This window comes from Homo sapiens, chromosome 13 (genome assembly GCF_000001405.40).
Source record: "Homo sapiens chromosome 13, GRCh38.p14 Primary Assembly".
In the NCBI taxonomy this organism is placed as follows: domain Eukaryota; kingdom Metazoa; phylum Chordata; class Mammalia; order Primates; family Hominidae; genus Homo; species Homo sapiens.
This window is the reverse complement of record NC_000013.11, coordinates 109686187-109705460: the sequence shown is the minus strand read 5'-3', so window position 1 is coordinate 109705460 and position 19274 is coordinate 109686187. Positions and strand designations below refer to the sequence as shown.

General features: G+C 40.0%; 2 annotated features.

Moving 5' to 3' along the window:
- Positions 5045 to 5339: an enhancer, noted in NCBI's record as "tiled region #15042; K562 Activating DNase unmatched - State 8:EnhW". NCBI's record gives its function as "activates a minimal TATA promoter and a strong SV40 promoter by Sharpr-MPRA in K562 cells {active_cell/tissue: K562}" and the evidence as "EXISTENCE:reporter gene assay evidence [ECO:0000049][PMID:27701403]".
- Positions 5045 to 5339: a silencer, noted in NCBI's record as "tiled region #15042; HepG2 Repressive non-DNase unmatched - State 23:Low". NCBI's record gives its function as "represses a minimal TATA promoter and a strong SV40 promoter by Sharpr-MPRA in HepG2 cells {active_cell/tissue: HepG2}" and the evidence as "EXISTENCE:reporter gene assay evidence [ECO:0000049][PMID:27701403]".

Here is a 19274-nt window from a genome sequence, read left to right as displayed (position 1 = left end):
TGTAATCTTATGTGCTCTGTGCCAGAGCTGCCGCAACAGTATCCGCTGCCGGCCCCTCCCATTTTTCCTCTCCTTCCCTTTAGAGCAGGGAGACATGGCCACGCCTGACAAACGCAAGCCTTCCCTGCCCTGCCAAAGCCCACTGTCTGGCATCTCCTTATGCCTCTTGTTCTCTCTCCGTTCTGCAGCCCTGTGGGCTTTCTTCAGTTGTTTAAACACAGATGCTCCTGTGGCCTCTGGCTATTTGCAGACACCATTCATTTTGCCCGGAAAGAAAATTAACTTCCTCTTCCACCAGGTGCTTCCTATGGTTCTTCAAAACTCACCTCGAGCATTACTCCTTCAGGAATCTTTTTTTTTCAGTTTCAAAGTAGGCAAATATTCTCTTTGGTGATGTCACCGTGCCATGTACTTCTCGAGTTGTTACGAAATAGGGCAAACAGTTTTGAGATACACTGATGTAATTTTATGCTTTGCATTTCCCGGTATATGGGCTTCTCCTACGCAACCTGGGCAGCCTCCTGCCCTACAGGGAGGAGGGTGACCTGCCAGGATGCAGACAGCGGGTTTACTCATACGGGGAAGGATGGGCAGGTTCTGCATGCTAATGAAGCTATCTGAGTTCACAGAAACACACGAGGCCCGAAGGCCAAGCTTTGTAGAGAAAGAAAAATATTTCCCAGTTTGGGAAGCTCCCTTTTTGGCATATTCAAAGCTAGGCAAAGTGTAATTGATCATAGAGTTTTGTGTCTGGAAGGTGTGGTGGAACAGAAAGAGAAGAGGGATGGCCTGTCGGGTGCCACACCATGGGGCAGGGAAGGCAAAGCAGAGTGTAAAGCAGCACAGTGCCAGGTCCTGTCCACGCCAAGTGTGGGGCCTTCTCCTCAAGGTTGATGGGCAGGATGTGGGGTGAGGGTGGGAGTGCATGGCAAAAATCCAGAAAGATGGAGGGTCGCCTGTCAAGGGCAGAGGGGCAGTGCACAAATACGGCCTTGTAGGATGCCCCTGCTCCGGCACTTCAGGGTGGTCTTCTCACAGTGCTAGTGACTGCACAGCTCAAATAGGTAGAGTGAGGATCTGAGCTTGCTGTCCTTGTCACTGTGGCATGGAAAGCATCAAGACATTCCCACAGGTACATGGAGGGCATGGAAGGAGGCTGAGAACATTCCAGAGGTCATCTCTGTGGCAAAGGGTGCCTGTACCTGGAACCCAACAGAAGTCACTGACAACCTCAGGGGGTCCATGGGGCCAGTGAGAGTAAGACCCAGTGGGCACGAGGAATGGCTGGTGGTTCCCAGGAAAACAGCCTGAAGCGAAACAGAACAGCTGTTCAGTCACCACAAGGTGTAGTTGTGAATGGCAGGGAAGCATTAGGAGGGGTCTTCAAAGTGGCTGGGATTGACGGTTTGGCAACCTGGAAGCGTTATGGAAAGCTTGGAGCCCGAAGAGAGAGAGAGCACATGTTGGTGGGTAGCATGTTCATAGTGACCGGCTCTGTGTTCAGATATACATTAGCAACTTGGATCTACCACATGCAAAGTAGATAACAATAGGTATGTTTTTAAAACTCTGTGATTCTCAATTTGCTCATTGGTAGAAAGTCATTTAGTTGTGAAAATTTAATAAAGTAAGTAAAGCAGAGAGAACAGTGCCCTTGGATAGAAAGCACACAGATTTGCATTGTTGTCCTGCTGTTAGTATTTTTAGAAGGTAAGCTTCAAGATGGCAACTCATATGTATCTTTTTCACCAAAGGGTTTTCAGTGGCTAGTACAATTCCATGATGTAATAGAGACTTTACAAAATATTCCTGGAGCAAATGTATAAATGAACGATTTGAAGCCTTAAGTTAGATCAGGGTGATTTATTTTTTAAAATGTCATATACCTGTGTTAATAGCAGTGAATGATGCCAAAAGTAATATGTGTGTGTGTTTCAGAACTCTTATCAAGAAGATCACTCATGATAATATACAGTAAATATAAATGGGTCAAACTTCCTTTACAAAAGATATTGTCATATTAAATTTTATATACACATACATGTGTACGAAGCAAAATGACATAGAAAATAGATGAGTAAATTCTTAAATGTAAGACAAAAAATAAAATGAACCCCAAAGTGCAATATTAATATCATACAAAGTGGAACTTGAGAGAAAATAAGGAATGAGCGAGGGCTACTTTATATTAATTTTCTAAAGTATAATTTATTATGAGAATGTAGTAGCCAGAGATGTTTAAAAACCAAATAACAGCATCAAAAGACATAAAAGTTGTTATAAATGCAATAAGAAACTGGCAAAGCACAGTCTTAACAGGCTACTTAACAATATCTCTACTTTTTATGTTATGTACATAAACTTTACAGAGAACTGAATAATTAATATGTTTTATTTACTCAGTATTTCTTTAAAGAAAATGTCTTCAAATGTGCATCGTATAGTTAAACATTGATTATAGCTTCTGTGTCAAAAAAAAGCTCAATACAAAGCATTCCCATAAGCCATATTTTGACAATAAACAATAGAATTTAAGTAATAAAAAGTTTAACACCAAATCTAAAACCATGTGGAAACTAAAAATACTCCCTGAATAATCCATGAGCTGTTAACTCAAAGAAAATGATAGAGAAAATTAAAACTGAATAAAGAGATTGTTTAGAAGATGCCATAATATATGGAATGTAACCCACATTGTGCTAGGAGAAAACTTTGTAAGTTTTCAAGGTTTTTATAAGAAAGTTGCAAATGAAATATCCATGTTACTGCAGAAGCAAAAAATAATTTAAAAAGCCCCAACAAAAGCATGAGTAAGAAAACGAAGATATAGTAGAAATTAATGACTTAGAACCTGAAAAACTATAACAAATATAGTAATTCAAACCTTTATTCTTTGATATTAAATACTACTGATGACAAATCTTTGGAAGGCTAAGAGAAAAGCAGAGAACATACAAATATTCAGCATTAGAATTCAGGACACTGGGGAGAGGCATAGTGGTGAGAGCAGTCCCTTAGCCGAGGCACACTGGGTTGACTTCACCGGTACTCAGCTGTGTGATCCAGGAACGCTGTCCAGCCTTCTTGTCTCATGCCTTGGATTCCCACGGCTCATAGTGCTGTTAAAAAAATTACATTGAGTTACCATTTGTGATATGGTTTGGCTGTGTCCCCACCCAAATCTCATCTTGAATTCCCACATGTTGTGGGAGGGACCCAGTGGGAGGTAATTGAATCATGGGGGCAGGTCTTTCCCATGCTGTTCTCGTGATAGTGAGTAAGTCTCACAAGATCTGATGGTTTTATAAAGAGGAGTTCTCCTGCACCAGATCGATCTCTCTGCCTGCTGCCATCCGAGGTGTGACTTGCTCCTCTTTATCTTCCGCCATGATTGTGAGGCCTCCCCAGCCGTGTGGAACTGTAAGTCCATTAAATCTCTTTCTTCCGTAAATTGCCCAGTCTCCAGTATGTCTTTATCAGCAGTGTGAAAACTGACTAATACAATTTGTCGAGTACTTTTATAACAGGGTTTCAAAAAGAAAATATGTATGTGTTTCTTATGTAAAACAAGCAATATGGAAAGGAGGTTGCAGTCCACAGCCATGAGATAATCCATTTTGATATCTAGCTGAAATGAATGAATTTCTAGGAAAATATATTACCAAATATGACTTAAGAAGAGACAGAAAACTTAATTTGTCAGTGCTACAGGAGATACTGAAGAAAGTTTGAATAGAGCTATACTTCTGATGGTAGAAAGGCATATATTTTGCATTCACGCATTCATTTAACAAATATTGATTAATTACCTACTATGTGCCTGATGCTGCTTTTATTCCACTAAAAGTACGATAATTTTTTTAATTTCAAAAGAAATTTATACTCTGTTAAAAAATGAGAGTATCAAGTGGTGAAGATTAAAAGCAAACATCTTCACCTCCTCTACTCCCCAATCTCAGCTGTCTGCTACGTATTCTAGATATTTTTAAATTCCTCTCTCTCTACCTACCTACCTACCTATTATCTATCTATCTGCCTATTTGTCTAGTTGTGCCTGTGTATGTGTATTTAAGCTCAGTAGGATCCTATTATCCATTTGTTTTGCAACTTGTTTTTCATGTGATGGATGTCCCTCCACGTCAGCACATGGTATTATAATTATGCATATTTTATTCTCTTTGAAACAAGGTGAATAAATAAACCTGTAGCAAGGGAAACGCTATCTGTCACCAAAACTCCCACTACTCGAAGCGTGACCTAAGGCCAAGATCTGCGGGACCTTTTTCACAACCTTTGTGCGTCTTCTTAGCTTCTGATGGCAGCCACTGGTTCCTACACAGCATGTTGTCCCCTTCTGTGTTGTGGGAGCTTTTAGAGTTTTTCTTTTATTTTGGGGTCTATAAGTTTTATCAGGGGACCTGTGGGTGGACACACAGCCCTCAGTGGATCACTGTATAAGGAACTTCAGCTCCAGAAAAGAGGCTTCAATCATTTCTCCTAGTATTTCTTTCTAATATTTTTGTTCTCTATTTGTAAAAGTCTCTATTAGTTTGACCCTCCTGAATATATCTTGCAAGACTTTTAGGTTTTTATTCATTCGTCTGTTTATTTTTCCTTTTAGATCTGGGAGGTTTCTTTGGCTCGACCCTCTAGCTGCCTGGTCTCCATGGTGGAACAGCCCCTCTTCTGGACAGCCAGCTTGGCAGTTCCATTTAATTTTCATTTTGTCAGTTAAATTTTATTTACCATACCTCTTCCTTTTTCGTAAGTGCTGTTATCTTCTTATTCCCTGTTCCTTACCCTCCCTACCTCCTCCTCCTCCTAATTGTAGCTAATTCTAATTTTATGGGTGCAATTTCCTCTCTAATCTCTCAGTATCAAGTTGGATTTTTATTATTATTATTACTTCTATTTCCTCTCAGGTGAGCTGTTTTATTTGTTCACATTATCCTCCACCCTGGTATTTGCCTCCTGTATTGGGTGGCACTTGATTTGGTTCTTTTTTATGAATGAAGATGGGGTTGATTGCTTGTGGGTTTCCTTTGCAGCCAGGCACATCTGTTTCCTGCTCAGCCTCCTCCCTGCCTGGCTAACTACAGGCCTGTGTCTGTGGATGAGGCTCCAACAGCAGGAAGAACTATCCAGCAGCCTGGGGACCTCCTCCTGCCCACGCCCCTCCTGGGCCAGCTGCCAAGCCAGGAGGGTTTTTCTTTCCTGAGAGCCGATAACTACAGCACAGAGACTTCCTCGCTTTCTTGGTTCAAGTCTCTATCATTGTTTCAGTAATTTTTTTACAGTGGCCCTAGGCCAGAGCAACTTCTTAACAGTTCTGTGTATAAGTAGTTAGAGCCAAACGACATAATTATGCATGCCCTAACAACTTAGTAACTGTTTGAAAAACCAATACATATACCTTTAAAGAAAAAACAAACAAAAACAAAACAAAACAAAAAACAACCCATCTTTTCTTTTGCTCTGAAATTCCCATCACTTAGCAGCGCTGCACGCGCCTGCTGGGGACAGCACAGCCTCACCTACCTTGGCATGAGATTGGAGAGCCCTGCTGCGTTTTCTGTTCCCTGCTGGTTTTCATACGGGGCCTGCTTTTTATCAGAGCACCTGCTGAACATCCAGCCAGGGCCTCGTGGAAAGTAAAGTAGCGCTCTTGAGCCTTGGATCGGTGGCTTTGCTAGAGCAGACGTTTCATGGAGGGGCTGATGGATGTCCAAGAGGTTGTGTTTCTCTCAAAAATGAAGAAACTCCACAGCGCCCCTGTGGGTTTGCCGGGGCGAAGATCTGCTGTGCTTCTTTTAGGCCCTGTAAGTTCACCGACAAATTAATTTTCTTTAAAAACTAGTCTTTGGGCTTTGTCTTTGGGAGAAACAATTTCTCCGACCGTCATTTTTCGACTCTATTTTGGGGGATTGGTGGTAGGAGCTGTAGTGAGCCGTTCCAGCTCTCGCCCTAATGTTTGACTCATGGCAAGGTCTTTGCCTCCTTGACTTTGCTCTCAGAGCTTTTTCTAGGCTTGCTTGGGAAGAAGCTTTCAACATTTCTATTCCATGGCTATTTTCATTTTTCTCTTTTCCAGTAATGTTATGTTTTCATTTATATGTATTATTTTTCTCAAAAGTAACTTGAGGAATAGAAAAATTGGAGCCAAGCCAGCTCCTCCATCAGCCATTTGAATTTGCTTGAGCTTCTATATTGGGCTGGACATCAGTTTTAATTCTTAAAATTTTATTTGAATTAGAATGGTGAACTTTGAATCATACTGACTCTTTGTGGATTCCACATTTTATGTTGTCAGTTATTATCCAGCTCTACTTGAATTCTAAATCACAAAACAAAACTATTCAAACCATCATGGTTTCTGCACTTTTAATGTAAGTATTTGAGGTTCAAAGTTAGCTAATCATACAATATATTCCAGAGTTAGTGAGAATGGACACTGAAAAATTACTCTTTTCTGGGATAAGGATGACTAAGAACCACAGGGAACAGAGTTCCTCTAAAATGAGTTGTTTTCAAACGGAAATAAAAAAACCACAAAACATTGCAGAATTGCTCATTTTATCAGATGGCTGAAACTTACATTTGTAAAAATGCAGTTTGATTGATTATGATGGCTAAGCCAGGGTTTGTTGACCTTGAAGAATAAAAGCTTGGCACATACTTATTGGAAAGTGTGAGCGACATGAAAAAGATATAACGAGAAATCTTTTAAATTTTTGCAATAGGACTCAAGAAATAAAAGATGTCATATCAACACAAGGTAAGGCTTTGCCTAGCAGCCACTTGGTGTGGAATATTTACAAATTGTTGACAGTTGTATACTTTAATACGTATGTGCCTTTCCAAAATATGAAGGTATCAGAATTTTAGATGAGGTAGAATATTTTTCATACTTCTTCTTTTAGTATGTCACAGAAACAAGTTATTTGATATTATCTCTTTTATATGTATAGTACATCCATGGATAGCAACCACAGTAGGAAGTAAAATTACCAGCAAAACTCTTGCCAGGGATTGTAATTAGTTATTAAAAAATAATGTCTCCCTACCCCATATTCTCCTCCTGAGTGTATTTTGGGTTTTTCTTCCACTGCCAAAGCCTTAAAGCAAATGTCTAGACAAACCTCCTACACTCTGATAATTTCAAACCTGCTGATTTCGAGTGATAGACCTACATCTTGATGTCATTCTATGAATGGCAAGGCCTGAATTTCCAAAGGCTCTCTGGACATCTGGGCAGTCATCAGAACTCACCGTGCCCTAATCTGATGGGCCTTCCTTCCCTGCTGCCTTTTCTCCTGTATTTCACATTTGAGCTGCTGATAACTGCAGCTGTCCCAGCTGCCGGGTAGGAACGTCAGCCTCTCCCGCGGGACGTCAATCCCTAGCACGGACCTGTCTGACCCTTCCCCTATACCACGTCCTCTTGCTTCTCCCTCTGAAATATCTCCCAAATCCTTCTCTCTGCCTTCTTTTCCTACTCTCCTCACTCACATGACTGCCTCGGGCCCCATTTTCCTTCACTTGGATCTTTTTGTGATGGTCTCTTTACAAAGACACTGTTGCTGGAACCCCTTTCCAGAAGCTGAGGTAGAATCATACCGCTCCTCTAGAACCTCAGACACTCTCAGTGCATTTAAAGACATACCCAAATTCTGGCAACATGACACAAGTCTGCACCCTGTCCTGCCTCATCTTCCACTTATTTATGAGCTGTGTGTCACTGAGCTTTCCAAAATATACCTTTTGTTTTCACAGCCCATTCTTCTCTTATCCTGAAATGAACTTCTCTTCTATGCCTCTGACACCTACTCACGTATGAATGTCCTGCTAACACACCACTTCCGCCAGGACCCAAGTTTGCTCATGAACCCTCTTGCCCATTCCAGTGGCTACTTCAGAACTCGCCAGATCTTTCTCTCGTTCCCATGTTATTGATCTGCCGTCTTTGTTTGCTTTTCACACTCCTTCTCTTATCCAAGAAAGATTTTCACAGCATCACACTCATTTAAATGTCTATAGCTTTAGTTCTAGACTAGTTTATCTTCTTGCTATATTTTTAGAGACAAATTTCCATCCAAATTTACTATGCAAAATAAAATTCTTAAGGAATCTCTAAATCAGAAAGCAATTTTGGCATGTTTGCATTGTGTATTTTTTTTATTAACTGAGATTTACTCAGAAAGAATCAAATGAGCCAAAAATTTGGAGCTGAAATGCTTGACATTTAACCCTTCTGGAAAGAATAATGTTGGTCTTACAATGAATTAATTGTACATTTTTGAAACGTGTAAGATTTTTAAAAAGTTATATGTTCTAGTTGTTAAGCCATTAGAAAGTTTGGGTAAGTGGCCCCTTTTGTAGGAAATCCTGTGTGCCTCACAGTCTCTCCATAGCCTGGTGAGTAGCAAGTGAGAAATATTTTGCAATAGAAAACAGAAAAGTCAAGGCTGAGGAAAAATAGAATTTCCACCACAAATATCTGATAAATTTATCTAGGAGCCAAATTTGGGGAGCTATATGGGTAGTTCAAAATCTGTTTGTATTCTCCTACTGGACAGAAAGAGGAAAGTAAATGGATTAATCAGGTAGATTGGCATCTACTGATGTAAGCAACAGGTAGATAAATGGGATGAATCCAGTCATCCTGGTTCTTACTTTTCTGTGTTGGGATAGAAGATGGTTTTCTCTCATAAGTGGATGTAAGGGAAACTGGTGGGGATAATGTGTTGATTGAAATTTAAATTTTCTTATGGAAGACTTGTTGAAGAATTCAATTGTTTTATTCCAACAATCTGGCAGTTTGGATGCCTGCCATAGCCTTACCGTGCATTAGCTGTGTTACCTCAAACAAACCAGCTAGTCTTCCTTGGCCTCAGTTTCCTTAGCTATTGAATGAGGGTTTGGACTGGGCGATCACATAGATCTCTTTTGGTGGCCAAATCCTGTGGCTTTGTGATTCTGTGTACAGCCCAGTTGCTTATTCTGTGCAGTTAGACGATAGCATCCAGACTCATGCACTAGGGGTGGAAACCGTTGACTCCTTTCTTCTTTCTTCCTTTAGTTTCTGAAGCACTCCTCTGTGACTACACATTATCAGTTTCTTCTTTCTCTCTATATGTTTTTTTCTTTTTTTCCAGATAATGCAGTTCCCCTTGACTCTAATCCCAAACTGCTTTTTTCCTCCCTGACCCTACATACAGTTCATCCAAGACAACTTCATCTGTACACATGCATTCAACTACCATACTGTTACTATTAGCTTGGGGCTCTTTCCGGAGCTTCAGACTCCTGTCTTCCACCCCCATGGACATCTTTGCTTCAATGCCCTGTGAGTGTCTCTAACTCACTATGTACAGAGCTGAATTCATTATCTGTTGCCCTTAATTGATCTTTCTTGCCATGGAATACTAATTGACTTCCTTCTCTTCCATGTAACCACCTCCAATCCATCTTCAATCTGTCAACAGAATGATCCTACTAAAACCCAGATCTAATCATGTCTGTCTCATGAGGAAAAATTTTTAGTTTCCCTATTGCCTCCAGAATGCATTTGAAACCTCTTTCTAGCTCTGTACAGCCCTGCCACCTGCTTCTTGAGTCTTTATGCACTACTGCATGGGCCCTTCAGCCATTCAGTAAAATTGACTTTTTTCTTTTTAGTGCATAGGTCTATCAATTTTGACTCATATATAGATTTGCGTGATCACTACCACAATCAGGTTACAAACAATTCCCTCACCCCCAAAACTCCTTGGGGCTATCCCTTTATAGGCTCACCCTCCTGAATTCTGACGCCAGCACCCACTATTCTGTCCTGCATCACTGCCGATGTATCTTTCCAATGCTGTCATACCAGTGCAATCATACGGCCCTCACCTATTGAGGTCAGCTTCATTAGCTCACCGTAATGCCTGTAAAATCCATCTAAGTTGTTGATTCATGTTTGTCCCTTGCTGGGTTGTATTCCATTGTGTGGAGGAGCCACAGCTGATTATTCACTCACTTTTGGAGGGGCATTTTAGCTGTTTCCAGTTTGGGACAATTATGAACAGAGCTGCAACAAACATTCATGTACAGGTTTTTGTGTGAAGACATATTTTCATTTATCTGGGATAAATACCCAGGAGCAGAATTGTTGAGTCATGTGGTAAGGGCATGTTTACCTTGATAAGAGCCTGTGAAACCATTTTTGAGAGTGGATGCTTGTATTTTTTAAACAAGATTCATAGTTGACTCTGAGGCCCAGCCAGGTTTGGGAGCCAGAGCCGGAATAATCACTTACATGTTGGTCGTTCGCACACACTACAGGTTGCTTAACAGGACTCTGTGCCTGCATGTTTGTGTCATCTCTGCAACCTCAAAGCCTAGTGAAGATTTCATCTTAACTTGATTGCTATGTGTTTGCATAGTTGAATAACTAAGAGAGAGTGCTCACAGCGTGGCTGCTCCCACTAAGGTGTAGTCAGAACATGTGATATACAGTACAGATGATTTTCCACACTTCTCTCCTGCACGTAACAAAATTACTTTTAGTAATGATCATGTAAGACTCAGTAGTAGTAATGACTTTCTTTAATATTATTTATTAAATATTTTATTATAATATTTATATTTATATAATATATATTTATATTTATATAATATATATTTATATTTATATAATATATATTTATATAATATATATTTATATTTATATAATATATATTTATATAATATATATTTATATTTATATAATATATATTATATAATATATAATATATATTATATAATATATATTTATATTTATATAATATATATTATATAATATATATTTATATTATATAATATATATTATATAATATATATTTATATTTATATAATATATATTATATAATATATATTTATATTTATATTATATATATTTATATAATATATATTTATATTTATATAATATATATTTATATTTATATATTTATATTTATTTATATTTATATATATTATATATTAAATATATGTTATATATAACTATATATTATATATTAAATATATGTTATATATAACATATATATTAAATATATATTATATAACTATATATTATGTATTAAATATATATATTATATAACTATATATTATGTATTAAATATATATATTATATATTGTATATTAAATATATATTATACATAACTTATATATGATATATATATATTATATATTATATATGAAATATATATTATATATAACTATATATTATATATTATATATGAAATATATATTATATATAACTATATATTATATATAACTATTATATATAATATATATTATATATTAAATATATATTATATATTATATATTATATATAAATTTATATTTATATATATTATATATTTATATTTCTTTTAATATTAAAATGAGTAGAAATCAGTTAAAATTATACATTTCTATTTTTAAAAAAATTTTTCAGATTCAGTAAAATGTTTTATGAACTGACATTTGCATTTACTAAACAAAAATATTACATTGTGCAGTTTGTCCCCTGTTGCACTGTTTTAGATTTTAAGCACAAACTTCCAAATGGTCCCCTCTGATGACTGAATTAAAATAAGTCAAGTTGTGTTCCTTTATTTTGACAGGCACTGTCCTGTCACGTTTAATTTAGAATCTAAGGTTTAAGTGCGAGAATATGTATTATCCCCGGGGTTGGAGAAGCACCTGGAACCAGTGTTAATAGTTTACTCCATCCAGCTCCTTCCGTTCACATGAAGGCGGGGGGCTGGGTGCCTGTGTGCCAGGGTCAGCTGAATAACTTGGAGTTTTCTGGAATAACTTTCCTGTAGAGTATGATGTTTATTAAGTGATAAAGATACAAATGAATTGATTGAAGCTTGCATAGGTGTATAAGTTTCGCCAGACTGCTGTCACAAATGACCACAAACTGTGTGGCTTAAAATAACAGACATGTATTCCTCATGGTTCTCGAGGCTGGAGGTCTGCAGGGCTGGTTCCTTTGGAGGCTGGGAGAAGGAATCGGCCCCCTGCCTCTCTCCAGCTTCTGGTGGTGGCTGGGGCCATCGGGGTACTGCTTGGCTCTCAGACACATTGCCTGATCTCTGCTCCATGTTCACATCTTCCACATTCTCTTGTGTTGTCTTGGTTTTCTTCCCCTCTTCTTATCAGGACACTAGTCACTTTGGATGAAGGACCCACCATACTTCAGTATGGTTTCATCTTAACTTGATTGCTTCTGCAAAGACCCCCCACTTCCAGATAAAGTCACCTTCACAGGTACCAGGGGTTAGGACTTGAACATAGCTTTTTGGGCGATGCATTTCAACCCATCACACACGCGCACACACGTGCACGCACACACACACACCCAAATATATGTAATGAAAACTCAACAGTCACAAGAGCAATTATTTAGAACTTTCATCAACAAATGATTGTGTGTGTGTGTGTGTGTGTGTGTGTGTGTGTGTGTGTAGGACTGTTTCATCACTAACTGTGTTTGGAATGACTCTCTTGTTGGGATAAAAGCAGGCCAGTTTTGCTTGGCTTACTTATCGTGTATGAATTATCTTTTAACAGAAATTTTCTGTACCCCAGGCAAGACCATTCCCTTCATCCCAGCCCAGGTAGCTGCTGTCCCCAAACACCCTCAGTGGGCATGAGGTGGTCCTCATAATTCCTGGTGATGTCCATTTCTTCTTCCATGTTTTCAAACAGCGGTATGGCACTTTGAGGTGAAATATGGCTCTATTTAATGTCACTGGTTTCTTGAAGCTCTGAGTTTTCTGGGACCACAAGTTTTACTTGAAGGTAAGCAATTTAAAGTATTTTAATATAAACATAACTACAGTATAAAGTGTGATGCGTATATTACATATATCTTTAGAACTAAACATGAGATGAAAAAATATGAACATGGTTGCAGGGCCCTGAAATTTCTTTCCTCTGTTACTGTGGTAAACAAAGCAAAGTAAACTAAGACAGTGGAAAGGGTTCATTTCAAACCTGTAAGATATGTCCTATCTCTAAGTCTGACTTGATCATTTGTTTGCTCTGATGCATAAATGGCAATGGAAATAATACCACCTTCTTCTTATCCCAGTAAACAAGTTTGTGAGCAAATAATTTAATATGGGGAAAGAGCTTCTGAGTTCTCAGAGGATCGCCATTTTCTCAGAGCTAGGAGATGACTTAGTGCGGGGGGTGAGCCATCTTTTCGGCCAGTTCGTGAATGTCTTGGGCTTTGTGTGGCAGACCTTCTCCGATCAAACAACTCTGCCGCTGCAGCTTGAAAACAACCACAGACAACACACACACAAATCCAGCGTGGCTGTGTTCCGACGCAATTTGACAAAAACAGGCACTGGCCAGACTTGGCCCATGGACTGCAGTTTGCCAGCCTCTGAACTTAGAGGAAAAAAATTGGAAGAATGGAGTGAACCTTGAGCACAGGGAGGAGCAGGCACTGAAGCTGTCTGTGTGCTCTTTTCCTGTCTTGATGGAGAACAAGACATTTGTATGCTTTCACAAAACAAAGACAAGTGTAACTGTGAGTTCAAAGATTACATCATTGATTTCAGTAGTGTTGATACTTTAAGCATTTGCTATGTTTCCTCTGAGCTATTGGGACATTACACTGAGATGCAGTCGGTGGTATGGGGAGGTGCTCAGGGGTTCTCCTCTCTGCCCTCACTGCTTGGTGCTTACAGACAGCTACTGAAGCAGTGCCTTTCATGCTGGGGAGCCTGACTATTTGCAGGTTGTTAAATCAATTTAATGGGTCGTGGTCTGCATTTGAAAGAATAGAACTGGCTCAACTTCCTTGGGCTAGAATGGAAAATCACAAGGTACATCCTTTATAGTATTTTGTGAATTTTTGTTGTACACTTGAACATATATAAACATATATGGGATGCATACATAATAAAGAACTATTAGGGGAAAATCAAGCTGTTTTTTGTAAAGTTAAAACTTTGGAAAGAGTATAGTCGAGTCACAAACTTTTCTCTGTTAAGTTATACCTAGATGTGATGATTGTGAAAAATTGGCAAACAAAAACTCTAGAAAAAGTTTGCATTCAGATTGTTTCCCAATGGCTTCCTAAGTTACTGAAAGACATCTCAACTAGAATTTAGGAATAGACACTTTCAGTGTTATGTATGCCAAATAATAATAATAATAATAAGTGCCGAACTCTAATCGACTGATCCATTTCTGTTGCCCAGGCTGGAGTGCAGTGGCATGATCTTGGCTCACTGCAACCTCCACCTCCTGGGTTCAAGCAATTCTCCTGCCTCAGCTTCCCAAGTGGCTGGGATTACAGGTATGCACCACCACACCCGGCTAATTTTTGTATTTTTAGTAGAGATGGGGTCTCACCATGTTGGCAAGGCTGGTCTTGAACTCCTGACCTCAGGTGATCCACCCATCTTGGCCTCCCTAAGTGCTGAGATTACAGGCGTGAGCCACCATGCCCGGCCCTGATCCATTTTTAAGAAAAGCCTTTATCCTTAAAGCAAATATTGGTGCATGAGTATGTAATGTATGAACACGTGATGTTTATGATTTCCAACTTGCAGTCACCTTTTCTTTGAACTGTTCTAATATTTTGTTCAGTCCTCATTTGTATCTGCTGAACCTCCCCTTGAGGGGATTGTCAGGTACCCTCCTTTCGCCTGTGAGCTGAGGGAAAGGTGAGAATGACTTTAGGGGAAGAGAAGGGTGAAAAGTACCAATTTCCAACTCTTCCTCGCAATCTTGAAATGTTTGATTTTGATCTCATCTTTGCACTTTCCCCTCCCTGCCGTAAAGAGAGACACACAGTTCTGTGCTGGGCTAAAAGCATGTTTGAAAAGTAAAGAAATTGGAATATAAGATATATATCAGTCCACACTGGACTGATGTGGCCAGGCAAGGCAACTGACCTCTTCTAACGTTTTCCTTCTTCCAGCAGAGCACGTCTCTGTCCTCTTAAGAGGCCACATGTCAGGTGTGTGGCTCTCTCTGACTCTGTCCTAATGGCAGTGCCTTCGTATTTTTTGTTTGTTTGTTTTTGTTTTGAGATGGAGTCTCACTCTGTCACCCAGGTTGGAGTGCAGTGTCACGATCTCGGCTCACTGCAAGCTCCGTCTCCCGGGTTCATGCCATTCTTCTGCCTCAGACTCCTGAGTAGCTGGGACTACAGACATGTGCCACCACGCCCGGCTAATTTTTTGTATTTTTAGTAGAGACGGGGTTTCACATTTTAGCCAGGGATGGTCTCGATCTCCCGACCTCCTGGCTGGTGATCCACCCGCCTCAGCCTCCCAAAGTGCTGGGATTACAGGCGTGAGCCACCATGCCCGGCCGGCAGTGCCTCTGTTTTTATGGCATGAGGGCAGCCCCGGTGAACTGGGGTTCTTCGTGGAGGAGTGTGCCCGTGCGTGACGGAAGCATGCGCCTCCTCTGACCTGGATGCAGGCTGGGATGCCATCGGCACTGGGGCTACCACATGGTGCTAACGGGCTCAGAAGAAGCCAGCACAGGGTGATTTAAACAGTGGCCAGTGATCCAGGGTCGCCAGTGCTGAAGGAAGGAAAAATCAATGTTGAATAATATACTTCACAGCCCTAAAGTAGACTCATATGTAATGTTGAGACAACTAACAATTTGTAAAGAGGACAGTACTAAGCAGAAGAGACGACAGAAATACCCTGCTTTGGTTTCGTTTGATGAATTTTCTTGAGGAGGGATTTCTAGGGCAGTTCAAAAAGAAAACAGAAAGCAGGTGACACTCAGGTGAAATATTCAGCATCCATCTCCTTTGTGTCTAAGCCCTGGTGAGTCTGTGTGCAATCAGCTAAGGGCCTTAGCCCATGGACCCCAGGCTGCAGGCAGCCCTTGCTCACTGAGACTGGGGACCACACCAGCTGATGGCCTCCACTGGGTTACATGCCCACAGGCAGCTGCTGAGTCTCAGGATAGCGGGAAGAAAGGTCCTGCCACAAGAAGACATCAATTAACAAAAAATAGATACCATAATGTAAAGCAATTACGTGGCCTGCCTTTTGGAAACTTCTGGGGAGAGGAGGGAGGAAGTCTAAACATGAATTGCAAATGCTGTACATGAAAACAGTATGCAGATATATTTAGCTCTATCAATTAGTTGAAGTCACAACATCCAGGGATGTTTTCACTAATGCATTTCATTAGTAAATATCTATTACTATTGGGTATTTATTGTTAAATATATGCATGCGAAAAGACAGACTAAGGAACACTCAAGTCCTCACCTCTCAGCTTTGCTGTATCTTAGCATTTTGCCACATTCGCCTCAGATAGTTTTTAAAGAATTAAAACATTAGATGCTATGGAAGCCCATTCTACCTCTTACTGTGACTTCTAAGATATTTTCAATGATTTAAGAAAAATTTTGAAAAGCAATGAAGTCAAACAGTTAAAGACACTGCTGCGTGGAGGTTTTCCCTCTGATGGTGAGATGCAGACGCTGCACTCAGAGGAACATGAGCTGGGAAATGGGGAGTCTGAAGAGAAGAGCTGAGTTGCAAACAAATGTCCTTTTTGCTTCCAGCCTTAGCTTTGGTTTTATGATGGATAAGATGTATTTGCATATTATGTCCTCTGTCCAATAGCATATTCCAGACAGGGGTTTCTGGGGGCATGATTAGGAAATAAAATATATTGCTGTACAGTTGACTATGGCAAGCAAAGACTGCAGACCTCAATCACTTAACTTAATATAAATGTTGGAGTTATCACAGTTGGACAAGGATTATGGTGATGTTCTCTACATTTCTATGAAAAAGTCACTATCTGGTAGTGGCCACCGAGCTTTTATTAATTTTGTTATTGCACAGGAGAAGGAAGTCATTTCGAGGCAAGTGTTTGCGCCCTGATATTAGTAAAACTTCAGAGGGCTCAGCCATCCCCTCCCACTGCCATATTTTTAGGAGAAACAGCAGCTGAGGCCTGGAGAGAGGTGATGTGAGATTTGTAGTGAGAGATGGAAAGCATCCTGGAGTTATTCCAAAAAGTGATCAGGTAGAACCTCTATGCCCACGACATAGTGTAAATCCTTTGTAAAACCAACACCCAAAGCATTTGGGGTTTTGCGGTGCTAGTTTCACCACGCAGTGGCTTGATTTTGAACACTGCCCTTTGCAGACCTAGCACCATGGAAACCCAGGCCTTTGCGGAGGACAACGCGGCCTGCGTGCTCCCATCCTGGCTACTGTTCACCAAGTGTGGGTGACCCTGGGAGGCTGCCCTTGCTTGTTTACTTGTTTTTCCTGGCTGTTGATTTCAAAGAAATCTCGGTCAAATGAGAAACCCGCCAACAATTTTGAGGAAATACAGGGATGAGCTTTGGCAGGAATTAGGTACGTTCTCAAAGCAGGCCTTCTGCCCGAAGTCACAGTGAATTTCCAACACCACAGGAGCTCATCTTTCTTTGTCCCTGGTGCAGGGAAAGTAAATAAGAGCACAATTAGTGGAAACCATAAAGAGAATGCTTTGAAACTTGCATCTGAGATCAAGCCAACAGGAGTTTCTGGTAGAGGTGATATTGGAATTTTGAAAAGACAGAAATGTTCAATCCAAAGGACTTTGACTTTGTGCTTATCTCATAAAAGAAGTCATTTGGAGGCTATTTAAATGTGTAAAAGGTACAAAGGCTTTGTGGACCAATTAGTTCTAGGAGGGTTAAAGAGCAAACCCTGCCCAGAGCCGGTGCACCTGCTGGTCCCTCTTCCTGCTTCCTGGAATGCTCTTGTCCCAGATAGCTGTGTGCTTTGCCCTGAATTTTTCTTTCGGTTTCCCGTTTAAATGTCACTTTATCTGCAAGGCCATCCCTTACCACTCTAAGAAGAATTTTTCTTTCTGTCCCCTTGATCCTGCCAGTTTTCAATAACACTAGCATCTGACATTTTATTTTATTAAATGCATATTGCATTGTTTATCTCCTGTTTATCCCTTCCAGAATGTAAATTCTCTGTGACCAGGCACCTGTTTTTTTTTTTTGTTCTTGCTTTTTGAGTCAGAGTCTTGCCCTGGTTGTCCAGGCTGGAGTGTAGTGGTGCCATCACGGCTCACTGCAGACTCCGCCTCTTGGGCTTAAGTGGTCCTCCCACCTCAGCCTTCCGAGTAGTTGGGTTGGCAGGTGGGCACCACAATGCCTGGTTAATTTATTATTATTATTTTTTTGAGACGGAGTTTCACTGTCGTTGCCCAGGCTGGAGTGCAATGGTGCAGTCTTGGCTCATTGCACCTCCCAGGTTTAAGCGATTTTCCTGCCTCAGCCTCCTGAGTAGCTGGGATTACAGGTGCATGCCACCATACCCGGCTGATTTTTGTATTTTTAGTAGAGACAGGGTTTCACCACATAGGCCAGGCTGGTCTCTAAGTTCTGACCTCAGGTGATCAGCCCGCCTCGGCTTCCCAAAGTGCTGGGATTACAGGCGTGAGCCACTGTGCCCAGCTCCAATTTCTAAATTTTTTGTTGGGTCTCACTGTGCTGCTCAGGTTGATCTTGAACTCCTGGGCTTAAGTGATCCTTCCACCTGAGCCCCACAAAATGCTGAAATTACAGGTGTGAGTTACTATGTCCAGCATCCTTGGTATGTGCTTAATAACCAGGACTGAACCAATGTTTGGAGTAGAATTAGTTTGCTTTAATTATTCACTGAATGAATGATTACATAAATGACTAAATAGAAGTTTTAAATGCTAAATTTCTAGACTCCAGAGTTTAGAGTGAATTAGTGTTTGTTTTTTGTTTGTGTTGTATTTAAGCAACTTATTTATACCTCTTCAAAAGGGTATCTTTGGTGTCTTATAAAATGTACATAGAATAATATAAAAATAGATCCTGAAATCAGAGCAAAGAGAAAAATAAGAGTGGCTTCATTCTTGTAGCAGAAAATCTGTATTCTAAAAATACATTTCTAATATAGTCTAAGACAGAGCATGGGAAGTGAAAAACATCACAGGACGATGGTTCTCCAACTTGATTCCTGTGGAAAACGTGTACTCTGGAGGCTGAACCTGGGGTTTTACTATTAAAGTGAGATAATGATCGTTTCCAGGTGCACATACAAGGTTGAGAAAAGGGATAGGCTTTTTTCAATTTAAAAAGTTCCCCAATAACTTTTTCTTAAATCTTTGGAAATTCTACTGCTTCTCTGCTGGAAAGCACTTAAATTGATAAGAAAAACAGTGAACAAGTACCAAACTCTCAACCGAGTACCTTGGAAATAGCTACCTGAGTTAGCCTG